At 40.7% G+C, this 19,402-nt stretch overlaps 1 protein-coding gene across 1 annotated transcript in view, besides 1 other annotated feature; it reads right to left on the bottom strand.

Moving 5' to 3' along the window:
* The window catches only part of CATSPER3 (cation channel sperm associated 3), a 43,790-nt gene that overhangs the window by 22,179 nt on the left and 2,209 nt on the right, over positions 1–19,402 (bottom strand). The window lies entirely within an intron of this gene.
* Positions 12,141–12,653: an enhancer, noted in NCBI's record as "NANOG hESC enhancer chr5:134312555-134313067 (GRCh37/hg19 assembly coordinates)". NCBI's record gives its function as "activates a minimal SCP1, AML or CMV promoter by ChIP-STARR-seq in naive H9 embryonic stem cells {active_cell/tissue: H9 hESC(naive)}" and the evidence as "EXISTENCE:reporter gene assay evidence [ECO:0000049][PMID:30033119]".

Raw genomic sequence — 19,402 nt, 5'->3', positions numbered from 1 at the left:
AAAAGTACAAGTGCTGATAGAGAAGCTGCAACGCCTTATCCCGAAGATCTAGCTAAGAGAATTGATGAAAGTAGCTACACTCAACCACAGATTTTCAATGTGCAAAGTAGATAAAAAAGACTTATATCTGAAGAAGAAGCCATCTAGGACTTTCATAGCTACAGGGGAAAAGTAAGGCCTGGCTTCAAAACTTCAAAGGACAGGCTGACTCTCTTGTTAGGGGGTAATGCAGCTGGTGACTTTAAGTTGAAGCCAGTGCTCATTGACTATTCCAAAAATCCTAGAGCCCTTAAGAATGATGCTAAATCTACTCTGCCTGTGCTCTAGAAATGGAATAACAAAGCCCGGATGACAGCATATCGGTTTACAGCATGGTTTATGGAATATTTTAAGCTCACTGTTGAGACCTATTGCTCAGAAAAAAAGATTCCTTTCAAAATGTTACTGCCCATTGACAATGCACCTGGTCACCTAAGAGTTCTGGTGGAGATGTATAAAAAGATGAAGAAGTTGTTTTCAGGCCTGCTAATAAAACATCCATTCTGATCAAGGAGTCATTTCAACTTTTAACTCTTATTATTTAAGAAATACATTTCATAAGGCTATAGCTGACATAGTGATTCTTCGGATGGGTCTGGGTAAAGTAAATTGAAAACCTTCTGGAAAGAATTCACCATCCTAGATGCCATTAAGAACATTCAGGACTCACAGGAAGAGATCAAAATATCAACATGAACAGGAATTTGGAAGAGGTTGATTCCAACCCTCGTGGATGACTTTGAGGGGTTCAAGACTTCACTGGAGGAAGTAATTGCAGATGTTGTGGAAATAGCAAGTGAACTAGAATTAGAAATGGAGCTTGAAGATGTGACTAAACTGCTGCAATCTCATGATAAAACTTGAAGAGATGAGGAGTTGCTTTTCATGGGTGAGCAAAGAAACTGGTTCCTTGAGATGGAATCTACGCCTGGCGAAGATGCTATGAAAGTTGTTGAAATGACAAGAAAGGATTTAGAATATTCCGTAAACTTCGTTGATAAAAGCAGTGGCAGGGTTTGAGAGGATTGGCTTCAACTTTGAAAGAAGTTCTACTGTGGGTAATATTTCAACAAACAGCATTACTTGCTATAGAAAAATCTTTCATGAAAGGAAGAGTCAATTGATGTGGCAAACTTCCTTGTTGTCTTATTTTAAGAAATTGCCACAGACACTCCAGCCTTCAGCAACCATCATCCTGATCAGTTAGCAGCCATCAACATCAAGGCAAGACCCTCCACCAGCAAAAAGATTATGTCTTGCTGAAGGCTCAGATGATTGTTGGCATTTTTTAGCAATAAAGTATTTTTAAATTAAAGTATATACTTTTTTAAGATCTAATGCTATTGCACACTTAACAGACTACAGTATAATGTAACCTTAACTTTTATATGTACCAGGAAACAAAAAAATTCATGTGACTCACTTTATTGTGGTGGTCTGGAACTTAATCCACAATATCTGAGGCATATCCATAGCTTTACATCTTTCTTTTCAATTTAGATGCCTTTTATTTCTTTTTCTCGCCTGATGACTCTGGCTAGAACTTTCAGTACAATGTTAAATCGTGGTGAAAGCAGTCATATTAGTCTTGTTCCTAATTTTAGGGGGAAGGCTTTTCGTCTTTCTCAATTAAGTCTGAAGTTAACTGTGGGTTTTTTCATAAATGCCCTTTATCAAGTTAAGGAATTTCCTTTCTATTTGTAGTTTAATTTTTTTTGTATAATGAAAGAATGCTGGATTTCATCAAATGCTTTTTCTACATCAACTAAGGTGAATTTTTTTCCTTCACTCTACTGGTGTATTACATTGATTGATTTTTGTATTTTGAATCACCCTTGCTTTCTTGAGATAAATCCCACTTGATCGTGGTGTATAATCCTGCTAAGTATGCTTCTGGCTCCAGTTTGTTACTCTCTCAATGACAATTTTTGTATCTATATTCTTAAAGAATATCTGTCTATAGTTTTCTTTACTTAATGATGTTTTGTGCTGGTCTCATGGATGAGCTCAGAAGTCTTCCCTCTTCTATTTCTTGGTAGAGTTTGGGAAGAATTGGTGTTAATCTTTCCTTAAATGACTGGTAGAATTCACATGTGAAACTACCTGGTCCTGAGATTTTCTTTGTTGGGAGGTTTTTGATTACTGATTCAACCTTTTGTTATCTGTTCTGATGGGTCAGTTTTCTATTTCTTCTTAAGTCAATTGTGTGCTGTCCATTTCATCTAGATTATTTAACTTGTTGGCATATAATTGCTTATAGTATTCTCCTATAACCCTTTTTGCTTCTATAAGATCAGTAGAAATGTCCCAAATTTCATTTCTGACATTAGTAATTTGAGTCTTATTTTCTTAGTCAATCTAGCTAAAGGCTTGTCAATTTGTTGATCTTTTTAAAGAACCAACTTTTGATTTTGTTCATTTTCTCTATTGTTCCTCTACCCTCTATTTTGTTTATCTCGTTCTAGTATTTTGTTATTTCCTTCCTTCTGCTAGCTTTATCTGCTCTTCTTTTTCTCGTTCCTTAAGGCATAAAGTTAGGTTACTGATTTGAGACCTTTCTTCTTTTCTAATGTCAAGCATTTATAGGTATAAATTTCCCTCTGAGCACTGCTTTCACTGCATCCTATGAGTTTTGTTATGTTTTTTATTTTCATCTTATATTTTCTAATTTCGCTTGTGATTTCTTCTCTGACCCATTAGTTAAGAGTATGCTGTTGGCTGGGCATGGTGGCTCACGCCTATAATCCCAGCACTTTGGGAGGCTGAGGCAGGTGGATCACCTGAGGTCAGGAGTTCGAGACCAGCCTGGCCAACATGGCAAAACCCCGTCTCCACTAAAGAATACAAAAATTAGCTGGGCGCGGTGGCATGCACCTGTAATCCTAGCTACTCAGGAGGCTGGGGCAGGAGAATTGCTTGAACCCGGGAGGCAGAGGTTGCAGTGAGCTGAGGTTGTGCCATTGCACTCCAGCCTGGGAGACAGAGCAAGACTTCATCTCAAAAAAAAAAAAAAAAAAAAAGGGTATGCTGTTTAAGGCCAGGCACAGTGACTCACGCCTGTAATTCCAGCACTTTGGGAGGCCGAGGTGAGTGGATCACCTGAGGTCAGGAGTTCGAGACCAGCCTGACCAACATGGAGAAACCGTGTCTCTACTAAAAATACAAAATTAGCTGGGTGTGGTGGCACATGCCTATAATCCCAGCTACTCAGAAAGCTGAGGCAGGAGGATCGCTTGAACCCAGGAGTCAGAGGTTGCAGTGAGCTGAGATTGTGCCATTGCACTCCAGCCTGGGCAACAAGAGCCAAACTCCATCTCAGAAAAAAAAAAAAAGAGTATGCTGTTTAATTTACACATATTTGAAAAATGTAGTTTTCCTCTGTAGTTCCGTTTCATTGCTGTCAGTGAAGATACTTTGTCTAATTTTATGTATATATATATTTAAGTGACTGGTAGAATTCATTATATATGTATATATATATGGCTGTGTGTGTGTGTTTCTTGTGTGTGTGTTTCTTTTTAAATTTTTTTAAAATTTCAATTGTTTTTTGTTTGGGGGGATTTTGTCAGTTTGTTTGTTTGAGACAAGATCTTGCTCTATCACGTAGTCTGGAGTGCAGTGACACAGTCATGGCTCACTGCACCCTTGACTTCCTGGGCTCAAGTGATCCTCCCACATCAGCCTCCCAAGCAGCTAGGACTACAGGCATACATCACCACTCTTTTTTTTTTTTAATAGATGGGGGTCCCATTATGTTGTCCAGGCTAATCTCAAATTCCTGGACTTAAGTGATCCTCCCATCTTGGCCTTCCAAAGTGCTGGGATTGCAGATGTGAGCCACTGCCCCTGGCCTATTTCAATACTTTTAGGGGTACACATGGTTTTTGGTTACATGGGTGAATTGTGTAGCAGGGAAGTCTGGGACTTTAGACTACCTATTAGGTGCAATGTACACTACTTGGATGCACCCATCACCCATGTAGGTGTGCATTGAACCCAATAGGTAGTTTTTTGTCCCTCACCCTCCTCCCAACCTCCCCCTTCTGAGTTCACTGTCTCCCCACAATGTCCATTATACCACTCTGTTTGCCTTTGCATACCCACAGTTTAGCTCCCACTTATAAGTGAGAATATGCAGTATTTGGTTTTTGAATCCTGAGTTACTGCACTTAGAATAATACCCTCCAATTCCATCCAAGTTGCTGCAAAAGACATTCTTTTGTTCTTTTTTAATGGCTGAGTAGTATTTCATCGTGTATATATATCACATTTTCTTTATCCACTCATTGGTTGATGGGCACTTAGGTTGATACCAATTCTTTACAACTGTGAATTGCACTGCAATAAACATATGCATGCAGACCTGGCACAGTGACTCATGACTGTAATCCCAGCACTTTGGGAGGCTGAGGTGGGCAGATCACTCAAGGCCAGGAGTTCAAGACCAGCCTGGCCAACATGGCAAAACCCCGTCTCCACTAAAAATACAAAAATTAGCCAGGCGTGGTGGCGTATGCCTGTAATCACAGCTACTCGGGAAGCTGAGGCGGGAGAATCACTTGAACCTGAGAGCAGAGGTTTCAGGGAGCTGAGATCGTGCCTCTCACTGCACTCCAGTCTGGGCAACAGAGCCAGATTCCATCTCAAAAAAAAAAAAAATGCATGCAGGTGTCTGATATAGTGATTTTTTTTTCCTTTGGGGAGATAGTCAGTAGTGGGATTGCTGGATTGAATGGTAGATACACCTTTAGTTCTTGGAGAAATCTCCATACTGTTTTCCATAGAGGTTGTCCTAATTTAGCTTCCTACCAGCAATGTATAAGCATTTCCTTTTCACCACAACCACACCAACATCTATGTTGCTTTTTGACTTCTTAATAATGGCTATTCTGGCTGGGGTAAGGTGGTATGTCATTGTGGTTTTAATTTACATTTCCATGCTGATTAGTGTCATATGGAGCATTTTTTCAAATGTTTGTTGGCCATTTGTGTATCTTCTTTTGATAAAAGTCTATTTATAGCCTTTGCCCATTTTTTAATGGGATTTGTTTTTCTTTCTAATTTCTTTGAGTTCCTTGTAGATTTTGGATATTATTCCTTTGTCAGATGCATAATTTGCAAATATTTTCTCCCATTGTGTATGTTGTCTACTTACTCTGATTATTTCCTTTGCAAAAGCTTTTTAGTTGAATCGGGTCCCATTTATACAATTTTGTTGCATTTGCTTTTGGGGTCTCAATCATAAACTGTTTGCCTAGGCCAATGTCCAGAAGAGTTTTTCCCAGGTTGCCTTCTAGAATTTTTGTGGTTTCAGGTGTTAGATGTAAGTCTTTATTCCATTGAGTTAATTTTTGTATATGGTGAGAGACAGGGATCCAGTTTCATTCTTCTACATGTGGCTAACCAGTTCTCCCCACACCATTTATTGAATAGGGTGTCCTTTCCCCAATTTATGTTTTTGTATGCTTTGAATATGGGTTGGTTGCTAAGTATTTGGCCTTATTTCTGGGTTCTCTATTCTTTTCCACTGCATCTATGCATCTACTTTTATACCAGTACCATGCTGTTACGGTTACTATAACCTTGTGGTATAATTTGGAGTTGGATAATGTGATGCTTCCAGACTTTTTCTTTTTGCTTAGGATTGCTTTGATTTCAATATTTTAATTTATTGAGATTTGTTGTATGGTCTAATATATAATCTATCCTGGAGAGTGATCCTTGTGTACTAGAGAAAAATTGTTTTATCTTCCTGATGAATTGATCCCTTTGTCAATATAATGTCCTTCCTTTTCTCTTAGAGCAGTTTCTGCCTTACTATCTATTTTGTCTGATATTAGTATAGCCACCCCAGCTATCTTTTGGTTTCTATTTGTTTGGAATATCTTTTTCCATCCTTTCACTTTCAACCTATTTGTATCTTTGGTTTGTTTCTTCATTTGTTTGAGACAGAGTCTCACTCTGTCACCCAGATTGCAGTGTAGTGGTGCAATTTCAGCTCACTGCAACCTCCGCCACCGAGTTCTAGCAATTCTCATGCCTTAGCCTCCTGGGTAGCTGGGACTACAGGCGTGCACCACCACACCTGGCTAATTTTTGTATTTTTAGTAGAGATGGGGTTTCACCATGTTGGCCAGGCTGGTCATGACTATTTGTACCTTTGAATCTAAAGTGAGTCTCCTGTAGACAACATATGAATGGGATTTTAAAAATCTGTTCATCTCTGCCTTTTAATTGGAGAGTTTAATCCATTTATATTTAAAGTAATTACAGATAAAGGACACACTTCTGCTGTTTTGCTATTTGTTTTCTATATGTCATATATTTTTGTTCCTCAATTCCTCCATTACTGCCTTTTTGCATATATACCTGATTTTTTTGTACTGTGCCATTTTGATTCCTTTCTCATTTCCTTTTCTGTACAGTTTTTTTGGTTGTTCCCTTAGTGCTTACCCTTTGGATTATAATTAACCTCTTAAATTTATAACAATCTATTTTTAATTAACACAACCTTAGCTTCAATAGTATATAACAATTCTGCTCTATACAGCTTCATCTCTCTCCCTTCATGTTTTTGTGATTATAAACTACTCCTTCAAACATGTGTGCCCATTAACTATAACATTGGTATTTTAAACCATATATTTTTAAAAAGAGTTACAAATCAAAATACACAATAACACTAGCTTTTGTATTTACTGATGCAGTTGCCTTACCCAAGTTCTTTATTTCTTTGTATGAGTTCAAGTTACTGTCTTGTTCATTTCCACCTACAAAACAACTTTTATCATTTTTTTGAGGGCAGGTTTACTAGCAACAAACCCTCTCATTTTTGTTTATCTGGAAGTCTTTATTTCCCCTTCATTTTTGAAGGATAATTTTGCTGAATACAGTATTTCTCATTGACAGTATTTTTTCTTTTATATTTTAAACATGGCTTTTCACTGTGTTTTGGCCTCCATAGTTTCTGAGGATAAATCGGCTGTTAATCTTATTGAGGTTTCTTGTATGTGACAACTTGCTTATCCCTTGCTGTTTTCAAGATTCTCACTTTATTTCTGGCTTTTGACAGTTTGATTACATGTCTTAGTGTGGCTCTTTTTATGTTTCTCCTTCTTGGAATTCATTGGAATTTTTGGATGTATATATTCATGTCTCTCATCAAATTTGGGAATTTGGGGCCATTATTTCTTTAAATATTATTTCTGCCTTATTTTCTCCTCTCCTTCTGGAACCCCTATTATGTGTATATTAGTATGTTTTATGGTGTCCCACAGTTCTCATAGGCTCTGTTCATTTATCATCATTTTTTCTTTCTGCTTCTCAAAGTGAACAAGTTCAACTGACCTGTCTTCAAGTTCACCAATTCTTTATTCTATTTACTCAAATCTGTTACTGAATCCCCCTAGATAACCTCCGTCTCCTGGGTTCAGGCAATTCTCCTGCCTCAGTCTCCCAAATAGCTGGGATTACAGGCCCTGCCATCAAGCCTGGCTAATTTTTGTATTTTCAGTAGAGGCAATGTTTCACCACATTGGCCAGGCTGGTCTTCAACTCCTGACCTCAAGTGATCCACCCACCTCAGCCTCCCAAATTGCCGGGATTACAGGCAGAAGCCACCGCACCTGGCCTCTTTGAGCATTTATTTTTAAAGCCTTTGTCTAGTAATTCCAATGACTGGGTTTCCTCAGGAAGAGTTTCTGTTCATTGTATAAGTCAGACATTTTTGTTTCTTTGATTGCTTTATAATATTTTGTTGAAAACCAAATGTTTTAAATATTGCAACGTGGTAAGTTTGGAAATCAAATTCTTCCCCCTCCTCATGGTTTGTTTTTGTTGCTTTATGTGAGTTGTATTTACTTGTTTAGTGACTTTTCTAAACTATTTTTGCAAAGAACTATATTCTTTGTTGTGTGTGATCTCTGAAGTCTCTATTTCTTCACTTTCTGGTCAACTAGTGTTTTGACAGGGATTTTCTTTCTATTTATTTTTTGAGACAGAGTCTCACTCTGTCACCCAGGCTAGAGTGCAGTGGCACAATCTCAACTCCCTGCAACCTCTGCCTCCCAGCTTCAAGCAATTCTCCTACCTCAGCCTCCCAAGTAGCTGGGATTACAGGCACCATGCCTGGCTAATTTTTTTGTATTTTTATTAGAGACAGGGTTTCACCATGTTGGCCAGGCTGGTCTCGAACTCATGACCTCAAGTGATCTGCCTGCCTGGGCCTCCCAAAGTGCTGTGACTACAGACATGAGCCACTGTGCCCGGCCAACAGAGATTTTCTTAAATGTCTCAAGCAAAAAGAAAGAAGGAAAAAAGGGAGAGAGAGAGAGGGTTTGGGGAAAAAATGAAGGGAAGAAGAGGGAAAGAAGAAACAAAAGAAGGAAGGGAGGAAAGAGGAAGAAAGAAAAAGGAAAAATAAAAAGAAATAAGAAAAAGAGAGCAAGAGAGAGAGAGAAAGGCCAGGCATTGTAACTCATGCCTGAATCCCAGTGCTTTGGGAGGCCAAGGCAGGAGAATCTCTTGAGGCCAGGAGTTTGAGAGCAACATAGTGAGATACTGTATCTACAAAAAACATTTTTTCATTACCTGGACATGGTGGTGTATGCATGTAGTCCTAGCTACTCAGGAGGCTGATATGTGGGGATCTTTTGAGTCCAAGGGTTTAAGGCTGATTGAGCTATAATCATGTCACTGCACCCAAGCCCAGGCAACAGAGTGAGACTGTCTGATAAAGAAAGGAGGAAAGGGGCCAGGCGTGGTGGCTCACACCTGTAATCTCAGCACTTTGGGAGGCTGAGGAGGGAGGATCATGAGGTCAGGAGATTGAGACCATCCTGGCCAACATGGTGAAACCCCATGTCTACTAAAAATACAAAAATTAGCTGGGTGTGGTGGTGCATGCCTGTAATCCCAGCTACTCGGGAGGCTGAGGCAGGAGAATCACTTGAACCAGGGAGCTGGAGGTTGCAGTGAGCCAAGATCACACCACAGCACTCCAGCCTGGTGACAGAGCAAGACTCCATCTCAAAAAAAAAAAAAAAAGAAAGAAAGAAAAAAAGAAAGGAGGAAAGGAAGGAGGGAAGGAGGGAAGGAGGGAGGGAAGGAAGGAAGAGAGGAGGGAGGGAGGGAGGAGGGAAAGAAAAAAAGAGAAAGGAGAATAAAGGAGAGGAGAGAAAAAGGAAAGGAAGAAGATAGGCTAGGCATGGTGGCTCATGCCTGTAACCCCAGTGCTTCGGGAGGCCCAGGCAGGAGGATCTCTTGAGGCCAGGAGTTCAAGGCCAGCCTAGGCAACATAGTGAGACCCCATCTCTACAAAAAATTAAAAAATTAGCTGGGCATGGTGATATATGTCTGTAGTCCTAGCTACTCAGCAGGCTGAGACAGGAGGATCCCTTGAGTCCAGGAGTTTAAGGCTGCAGTGAGCTATGATCATGTCACTTCACTCTAGCCCAGACAACAGAGTAAGACTTTGTCTCAAAAAGAAAGAAGAAAAGGAGGGAAGGGTAGGAAAGGAGGGAGGGAAGGGTGGGAAATGAGGGTGGGAGGGAGGGAGGGAGGAAGAAAAGTTCTCCTAGATTTTTTAGATTGGCTCTGTGTTGGGGTACTCTTTCAGGGCTTAGCAAAGCCATTTACAACTCTACATTACCCCTAACTTCCAGTTTTTACTGAGCCTAAAGATCAGCTAAAGGTGAAATCTTGAGACCTTAGGTCTTTTTGAAACATTCGTCCTGCCTTGGGCATGAATGCTTTCTAAATTTCTCCATATACACCGGAGCTTCTCAATGTCCTACTTATCCAAAGAATCTCCCTTCTAGGCCTTTCTTCCTACACTTCAGTATGTCCGTTGTTTGCTTTAACTTTTTTTGCCCCAGGCAGCAATAGACTGTTCACATGCCTTTTAATGTTTGTAAGAAATTCCCTCTCTATAGCCACCTTTCTGCTTTGAGAAAATTCCAAGCTAGGTGAAACAAAAGCAGTCAACTTCCATCAGTCCTTCACCTGGCTCTCAGGTCAAAATGGACCAATACAATTCTTTAAGAACAAGGTCTGGGTTAGTGCATGGTGGCTCATGACTGTTGGGAGATCCAAGGTGAGTGGATCACTTGAGCCCAGGAGTCTGAGACCAGCCTGGGCAGCATAGCGAGACCCCATCTCTACAAAACATACAAAAATTAGCTGGGCATGATGGTGCATGCCTATGGTCCCAGCTACTCAGGAGGCTGAGGTGGGAGGATTGCTTGAGCCCAAGCAGCTGAGGCTGCAACGATCTGTGATCACGCCTCTGCACTCCAGCCTGGGTAACAGAGCAAGACCCCATCTCAACAAACAAACAAATAAAGTCTGCTCTGGAACCAAGGACCAGGGTTCTACATTAGGAATGTGAGCTGCTGTCTTCAGGATCATCACCATGCTGGGGAGGGGAGTGGACAAGGCAGTGAAAATATAACAAAACTGGCTGGGCACGGTGGCTCATGCCTGTAATCCCAGCACTTTGGGAGGCCGAGGCGGGCAGATCACAAGGTCAGGAGATCGAGACCATCCTGGCTAACATGGTGAAACCCCGTCTCTACTAAAAATACAAAAATAAATTAGCCGGGCATGGCACCGTGCACCTGTAGTCCCAGCTACTCAGGAGGCTGAGGCAGGAGGATGGCGTGAACCTGGTAGGCGGAGCTTGCAGTGAGCCAAGATGGCCCCACTGCACTCCAACCTGGGCAACAGAGCAAGACTCTGTCTCAAAAAAAAAAAAAAGAAAATATAACAAAACTTTCCTAACTTTTAAAATATATATGTGAACAAAGACAGTTTTATTTCTTCCTTTCCAGTCTTTACATGTTTATTTCTTTTTCTTGTTTTATTGCATTAGCCATGACTTCCAGTATGATGTTAAATAGGAGTGGTGAAAGTAAGCATCCTTTTCTTGTTCCTGATCTTCGTAGGAAGGCATCAAGTTTCTCATCATTAAGTATAATGTTTGCAATCAGTTTTTTTATAGATTGTGTTTTGTTTTTTAACGTTTATTTTGTTTTTAATTGACATATAATAATTGTATGTATTTATGGGGTACAGTATGATATTTCAAGACATATATACAATGTGTAATGTCAAATCAGGGTAATCAGCATATTCATCACCTCAAACACGCCATTTCTTTGTGATAAGAACATTCAAAGTCCTCTCTTCTAGCTATTTTGAAGTATACAACGCATATTGCTAAATATCATCACCCTATTGCACAGAACACCAAAATTAATTCCTCCTATCTAACTGTAACTTTGTACCTCATTAACCAACCTCTGCTCCTCTCCTTCCCCCCTGCTCTTCCCAGCCTTTAGCAACCACTATTGACATAATACGGTTTGGATGTTCGTCTCCTCCCAATCTCATGTTGAAATGTGGTTCCCAGTGTTGGAGATGGGGCCCAGCAGGAGTTGACTGGATCGTGGGAGCAGATCCCTTATGAATGGTTTAGCACCATTCCATTGGTGATAAGTGAGTTCTCACTCTGAGTTTACATGAGATCTGGTTGTTTAATAGTGTGTGGCAGTTCCCCCCTCTCTCTCTTGCTCTCTCTCTCACCATGTGACATGCTGGCTCCCCTTTGCCCTCTACCATGTAAGCTTCCTGGGACCCTCACCAAAAGCAGATGCTGGCACCATACTTCTTTTATGGTCTGCAGAACCATGAGCCAAAATATAACCTCTTTTCTTTATAAATTACTCAGCCTCAGGTATTTCTTTACAGCAACACAAAAACTAATATGGGAAAATGGTACCAGAAGTGTGGTACCGATATAAAGGTACCTGAAAATGTGGAAGCAGCTTTGGAACTAAGTAACAGGGAGAATGGAAGAGCTTGGAAGTCTCAGAAGTCAGGAAGACGAGGAAAAGTTTGGAACCTCTTAGAGACTGGTTAAATGGTTGTGACCAAAATGCTGATAAAGACATGGACAGTGAAGCCCAGGCTGATGAGGTCTCAGATGGAAATGTGGAGTCTATTGAGAACTACAATAAAGGTCACCCTTGTTATCCCTTAGCAAAGAACTTGGTTGCATTGTTTCCATATCCTAGGGCTTTGTGGAAAGCTGAACATAAGAGTGATGACTTAGGGAATCTAGCGGAAGAAATTTCTAAGCAGCAAAATGTTCAAGATGTGTCCTGGCTGCTTCTAACAGCCTATGATCAGATATGGGAGGAAAGGAGAGGTTAAAGTTGGAACTTATATTTAAAAGGGAAGCACAGTATAAAAGTCTGGACAATTTGCAGACTCGCCATTTGCCAGAGACAGAGAAAGCCCTATCAGGAGAGAAATTCAAGCAGGCTATGAAGCAATGACTTGCTAGAGAGATTAGCATGACTGAAAGGGAGCTAAGTGCTAATAACCAAGACAATGGGGAAAAGGCCCTGAAGGCATTTCAGAGATCAAGGCAGCCCCTCTCATAACAGGCCCAGGGGCCTAAGAGGACTGAATGATTTCTGGGGCCAGGCCCAGGGCCCTGCTGCCCTGAGCAGCCTTGGGACACTGCTCCCCACATCCTGGCTTCTCCAGCTCCAGTCTTAGCTCAAATAAGGTCTGCTCTGGAACCCATATTGCTGGGGCCATGACTTTGGAGAGCACAAGCTGCTGCAAGCCTTGGTGGCTTCCACATGGTGTTAAGTCTGTGGGCTTAGGGAATGCAAGAGTGATGGAGGTTTAGCAGCTTTCCCCTAGATTTCAGAAGATGTACAAGAAAGCCCAGGTGTCCAGGCAGAAGCCTGCTATAGGGCCAGAGTCCTCACAGAGAACCTTTACTAAAGCAGTGCAAAGAGGAAATTTGGGGCTAGAGCCCCCACACAGTCTCCACTAGGGCACTGCCTAGTGGAGCTCTGGGAAGGGACCCACTGCTCTCCAGACCCAAGAATGATAGAGCCATGAGCAGCTTACATCCTAAGCCTAGAAAAGCTGCAAGTACTCAACTCCAACCCATGAGAGCAGACACAGGGAGTGCACTGTGCAAAGCCACTGGGGTGGAGCTTCCCAAGGCCCCGGGAGCCCACCCCTTGCACCAGCTTACATTCCCAATGTGAAACCCTGCTCCTTGGTTGCAGAGGCAATAGAACAGACCTTGGGTTTTTTTGGGGGTGGGGTGGGGTGGGGTTTTGTTTTTGTTGTTTTGGTATGGGGTCTTGCTCTGTCACCCAGGCTGGAGTGCAGAGGTGTGATCACAGATCATCACTCAGGCTCAAGCAATCCTCCCAAGCATCTGGTGCCAGCATCACCAGAAGCAGATGCTGGTACTATGCTTCCTGTACAGCCTGCAGAACCATGAGCCAAAATAAAACCTCTTTTATTTATAAATTACCCAGCCTCAGGTATTTCTTTATAGCAATGCAAAAACTAACTAATATACTACCTCTATGAGTCAACTTTTTTAGATTCCACATGAGTGAGATCATGTAGTATTTGTTCTTCTGTGCTTGGCTTATTTCACTTAACATAATGTCTTCTAAGTTCATCCACATTGCTGCAAATGACAGGATTTTGTCCTTTGTTACATATGAATAGTATTCTATTGTGTATATATAGCACATTTTAAAATCCATTCATCCATTGATGAACACTTAGGTTGATTCCATATCTTGGCTATTCAGAACAGTGTTACAATAAACATGGGATTGCAGATATCTCTTCAATATACAGATTTCATTTTCTTTGGCTATATACTTAGTAGTGGGATTGTTGAATCATATGGTAGTTCTAATTTTCTGAGGAACCTCCATAATGTTGTCCATAACAGCTGTACTAATTTACATTCCTGCCAACAATGTATGAGTTCCCCTTTCTCCACATCCTCACCAGCATTTATTTGTTGTCTTTTAATAAGAGACAACGTCTCACTCTGTCATCCAGCTGGGAGTGCAGTGGTGCAATCATGGCTCACTACAGCCTTGACCTCCTGAGCTCAAGCAATCCTCTTACCTCAGACTTCTGAGCAGCTGGGACTATAGACACATGGCACCATGCCTGTTTTTTTTGTTTGTTTGTTTGTTTGTTTTTCCCCACAGAGACAGGGTCTCACTATGTTGCCTGGGTTTTTTTTGTTTGTTTGTTTGTCTTTTTTTATAAGCTTTCCTACAGCATTTCCACATGTTCAATGCTCTAGCAACTTACCACTCTGCCTCAGCCTTCATTTCCTGCTTGCACAGAGCCTCAAGGTTAGCCAGAGGTGAGAGATCAGGGCTCTCTCACATCTTTCCCGGCACCTTCAGTGGAGTTCCCAGAAGTGTTAATAATTTCTCAGTTTCACAGTTAACCAGGGGCTTTCATACATGTTATTTTCAATGGCTGTACCACCACCCTGTAAGTTGTATATTAATTATATCATTTTACAAATGTTGCAGACAAACCACAGAGAGCTTAAGTAATTTGTCCAAATTCTCAGTTAGTAATAAGGTAGGAAGCTGGGGCTTGAACCCAAATCTGTATAACTCCAAAGTCTGCCCATCACAGAACATCCCCTAGGCTTGCAAACCAGGTCCCTAAACCAGGATACATGCTTAGTGACCCTTATGGCATCAGGGAGGCAAACAGAGGGTTTAGGCTCCTCAATTTGTCTCTTTCCCTGACCCCTGCCAAGTCCTATACCTAACATGATGTTCCACAGTCCATAACCAATCTCTGGATTTGTGGTGTGGAATTCACTGCCATACCAACATGTTCACAGAAGTGGTGCCAAGTGGATCTGACACATTTTAAGCATTAATTGTGGTATCCCACCACCTCGACTGCCTCTGATACCACATTATGTTTATGCTAACCTTTTCACCCCCAAGAAGGAAATGTGTTATTTATCCTAAAGATAAGAAGAGTATATTTTTAACCTTTTTATTGCAAAATAAACACACATATAGAACCACATGAACAAATATATAGTGTAATAAATTATTTCAAGGCCAATATCCCTGTAACTACCACCTAGGTCAAGAAATAGAACTCTGCCATCCCAGAAGCCCCTCACATGTCCCACATCCCAATTACAACTCCCTCCCTCCACCCAAAATTAACCACTATCCAAATTTTTATAGTAATTAATACCTTGCATTTCTTTATAGATAAAAATTCATGCATCCATCCCTAGAACTAATAAGTCGTCTTGCCATTTTATAAATTTTTAAACTTTTGGTGTATCTTTTAAGTCTCCCATTCCTTTTTCTTTCCTTACAATTTATCTGTTAAAGAACCTGGGGAGTTTGACTTGTAAAATCTCCCAGTCTGGATTTTGCTGAGTGCACGCTCATGGTACAGTTCAGCATATCCCTCTGGCCTCCATATTTCCTGATCTCTTTGGCAAGATTAGAGGTGCTGTTCTTTTATAGACGGCACATAATTTCTGGTTGTCTCTCTTTTCATTGATGCTCAGTGCCTAGATCAATAACTTCTTTGGGCATTGAAAAACTGTGATATTCTATCATTTCTTTTTCATTTATTAAGGGGGACACATCTATAAAAAGATGTTTCCCCTCACCTACTATATGCTTACTCAGTATTGCAGTTCACATAAGGTCAGTAATGCTTGACTCTTTCCCTTAATTTACTAATTATCAAGATAAAGGATTAGCTCCTTATCATCCTCCAAAAGTGGACAGTTTGTTTTGGGGTATCATTAAAACCTCATAGATTATTTGGTGAATTTCAATACATTGCAATTATTATTCTTACTGGAGCCCAAACTGTCCCATCTTTGGCCAGTAGTAAAACCTCACAGATTATTTAATGAGTTTCAATACATGGCAATTATTCTTCTTATTGGAGCTCAAACTGTCCCATCTTTGGCCAGTAGGACTCTTCACATAGTCTCCTGAGACTTTTGACATGACCCCAGTAGTCTTTGATAGCTTCCTTGCTAATGTCTATGACAAGATAATCATGGTTCATCTTGTGTACCTCCTGCCCTAGACCTGGAATTGGTTATTTCTCAAAGAAGTCCTGGGTTCTCTCCTCCATGAGTATCCTGGTTCTTAAGAACACAGGAGATGACAGAAATAAACTGTCCCATAATTACTCAATTGCCTTATCCTGTATTACAGACATACAAGTCTCAGAATAACACTACTAATACTGTTGCCACTAAGTTGATTACTGAAAATGATTTTGAAACTTTTTATCTTGGCTTTCCCCATTGTCTCCCATTTTTTAGTCATACTCTATCTTCACTGTCAGATGATGCATTCATTATATACTATATTCTCTCTGCTAAACCACAATTAATATTAGTTCTACAAATAACTACATATTTAATGCTCATCTTCAGTCCTAATGTTGATGCTTCTCTAATCATTTTGGTTGGCTGAAACCTATTCTTTAGTAAATTACTAAGGAAGGGCTCTTGGAAACAATATTCCCCAAGTTTTTGAATATTGATGAATTTGTCTATGTCCTTTATACTTGAAAGTCAATTTTTCTGATCTAAAATTCTTGGTTTACATTTTCTTTGCTGAAGTATCTTAAATATGTAACTCTATTTTCTTTTGGCATAACATATTACCATAGCAAAGTTTGATGATAAGTGATTATCTTCTTATAAGCCACATTGCATTGATACTTAGTTTCCTTCACCCCCTCTTTCCTTTAAAATCCAATAATTTTACTAGAATATGTTTTGGTGTTTATTGTTCAAACTCCATATTCTCAGGTATGCAATGTGTGCTCTTTCAACGTATAGTTCCAAATCTTTTGTTTCAGGTAACTTTTCTTGGATTATACACTTTAGCATTTGTTCTGTTCCTTTGCTTTGTGTCTGTTTTATTTCAAATTCAGGGGCTCCTATTGTCATTACACTGGATTTTTTTTTCCCCATCTTCGATGTTCATCATTTTCTCTTGAAACCTTTTCATGTCTTCATTTCTTATTGATTTAAAAAATTTCCTACATTTAATCCTATACTTCTCTTAAGCTATTATCTGTTGCAATTAATTGCTTAGTCTATTTTAGTCTTTATTTTTGAAATTTTTATTTCTAGTTCTTTCCTGAGTTTTGTCTTTTCACTTCTGTTCTTTCCTATCTTGTATCACTTTCTTAAACATCTGGCTTGTTTTAAAGTCATATGCTACAGTCTCTCCCTGTTTTGTGGGCATGTCTTTGTGGTGGGCTTTCATTATCTACGGGTTAAGTATCTCTTATCTGAAATGCTTGGGAACAGAAGTGTTTTGGATTTCAAAGTTTTTGGATTTCGGAATATTTGCATTTTCTTTACCAGTTGAGCAACCCACATCTGAAAATCCAAAATCCAAAATGCTCCAGTAAGCATTTCCTTTGAGTGTCACGTCAGTGCTCAGAATATTTTGTATTTTGGAGCATTCCAGGTTCCAGATTTTCAAATTCGGGATGCTCAGCCTGTATAAGGGGATTATTCTCTACCTCATTCTCTTTTTTCTTACAGTAATTGTGTATGAGACTTTATCTCAACCCTTTTTTTTCTAAAAACACAACTATAGCAGCATCAATCTTTTTCTATTGTGCTGTTTTACATAAAATTTGTTTTCTTGAGCTTTTAGAAGATGGTGTGGTTCTAACCTCACTGAGCTCATTCTTCTGCTTTTGTGTTGTGTTTAAAAACGCAGTAGCTTGATTTTTGAGGTATCCTGGTTCCTCCTCCAATTTTATCTGAACCTTCTCTTCCTTCATCTCTATGTCTCTAACCTGCTCAATTTTTATTCCATTTCCAGTATTTATCCCAACTGTGGGATCCTGTCTTTAAAAAGACCTCTAGCTGGTCAGCTTTGAAAGTTCACACCATCTGCTCCTCTAGCCCCTTCAAAAATTACCAGGAACCTCTTGATCTAGCCCAGTATTGGATTAGACAATACTGTTACTGATATCAAATGCTGTTCTCACATCAGCCCATCACACTTTCTAATAAATAAATAATGGCTTCCCTCTGTTTCTTTCCCCACAGAGACATACTATTCAGTTCTTACGGCTTGTAGTAAGGAAACTAACCAGTTTTGTTGTAAATGCTGCCTGTGGGTTCTTGGCTTTGCTACCTAGTTGCTCTGGTTTTTTTGGTTGGTTGTTTAGGACAAGGTCTCACTCTGTTGCCCAGGCCAGAGTGCAGTGGTGCAATCACAGCTCACTGCAGCCTCGAACTCCCAGGCTCAAGCAATTCTCCCACCTAAACCTCTAGAGTAGCTGGGACTCAAGGTATGCACCACCATGCCCAACTTTTTTTTTTTAATAGAGATGGGAGGGGCCGGGCACAGTGGCTAACGTCTGTAATACCTGCACTCTGGGAGGCCGAGGAGGGCGGATCACGAGGTCAGGAGATTGAGACCATCCTGGCTAACACGGTGAAACCCCATCTCTACTAAACATACAAAAAATTAGCCGGGCGTTGTGGCGGGCGCCTGTAATCCCAGCTACTCGGGAGGCTGAGGCAGGAGAATGGCGTGAACCCAGGAGGTGGAGCTTGCAGTGAGCCGAGATTGCGCCACTGCACTCCAGCCTGGGTGACAGAGCGAGACTTCGTCTCAAAACAAAAAAAAAGAGAGATAGGAGTCCCACTTTGTTGCCCAGGCTTGCTCAGTTTTTGAGAGGAGATTCAAGGAGACTTAAAAACCATGTCACTGGCCAGGCGCGATGGCTCATGCCCGTAATGCCAGCACTTTGGGAGCCCGACGCAGGCAGCTCACTTGAGGTCAGGAGTTCAAGACCATCCTGGCCAACATGGCAAGACCCTATCTCTACTAAAAACACAAAAATTACCCAAGCATGATGGTGTGTGCCTGTGATCCCAGCTACTCAGTCGGCTGAGGCAGGAGAATCACTTGTACCTGGGAGGCAGAGGTTGCAGTGAGCCAAGATAGCACCATTGCACTGCAGGTTGGGCAACAGGGCGAGACTCTGTCTCAAAAAAAAAAAAAAAAAAAAATCCACCATGTCACCACTGCTGCTCTTGCCACCCTCTTCCCAGATTTTAGAGTATTTTTAGAATTCTACAGAAAATTTCTTGAAGCAAAATACCCTTAAAATCTTATAATGGGCTGGGCATGGTGGCTAACGCCTGTAATCCCAGCATTTTGGGAGGCTGAGGCGGGTGGATCACGAGGTCAAGAGATCAAGACCATCCTGGCCAAGAAGGTGAAACCCCGTCTCTACTAAAAATACAAAATTAGCTGGGCGTGGTGGCGGGTGCCTATAATCCCAGCTATTCAGGAGGCTAAGGCAGAGGAATCGCTTGAACCTGGGAGGTGGAGATGGAGGTTGCAGTGAGCTGAGATCACGCCACTGCACTCCAGCCTGACAGAGTGAGATTCTGTCTCGGAAAAAAAAAAAAATCTTATAATGTTTCCAGAAATAAAGCATGTTTTAAAAAAAGAAGAAA

The sequence above is a fragment of the Homo sapiens genome, chromosome 5 (assembly GCF_000001405.40).
Source record: "Homo sapiens chromosome 5, GRCh38.p14 Primary Assembly".
Taxonomy (NCBI): Eukaryota; Metazoa; Chordata; class Mammalia; order Primates; family Hominidae; genus Homo; species Homo sapiens.
The sequence above is the reverse complement of the archived record's forward strand: the minus strand, read 5'-3'. Positions and strand labels throughout refer to the sequence as shown.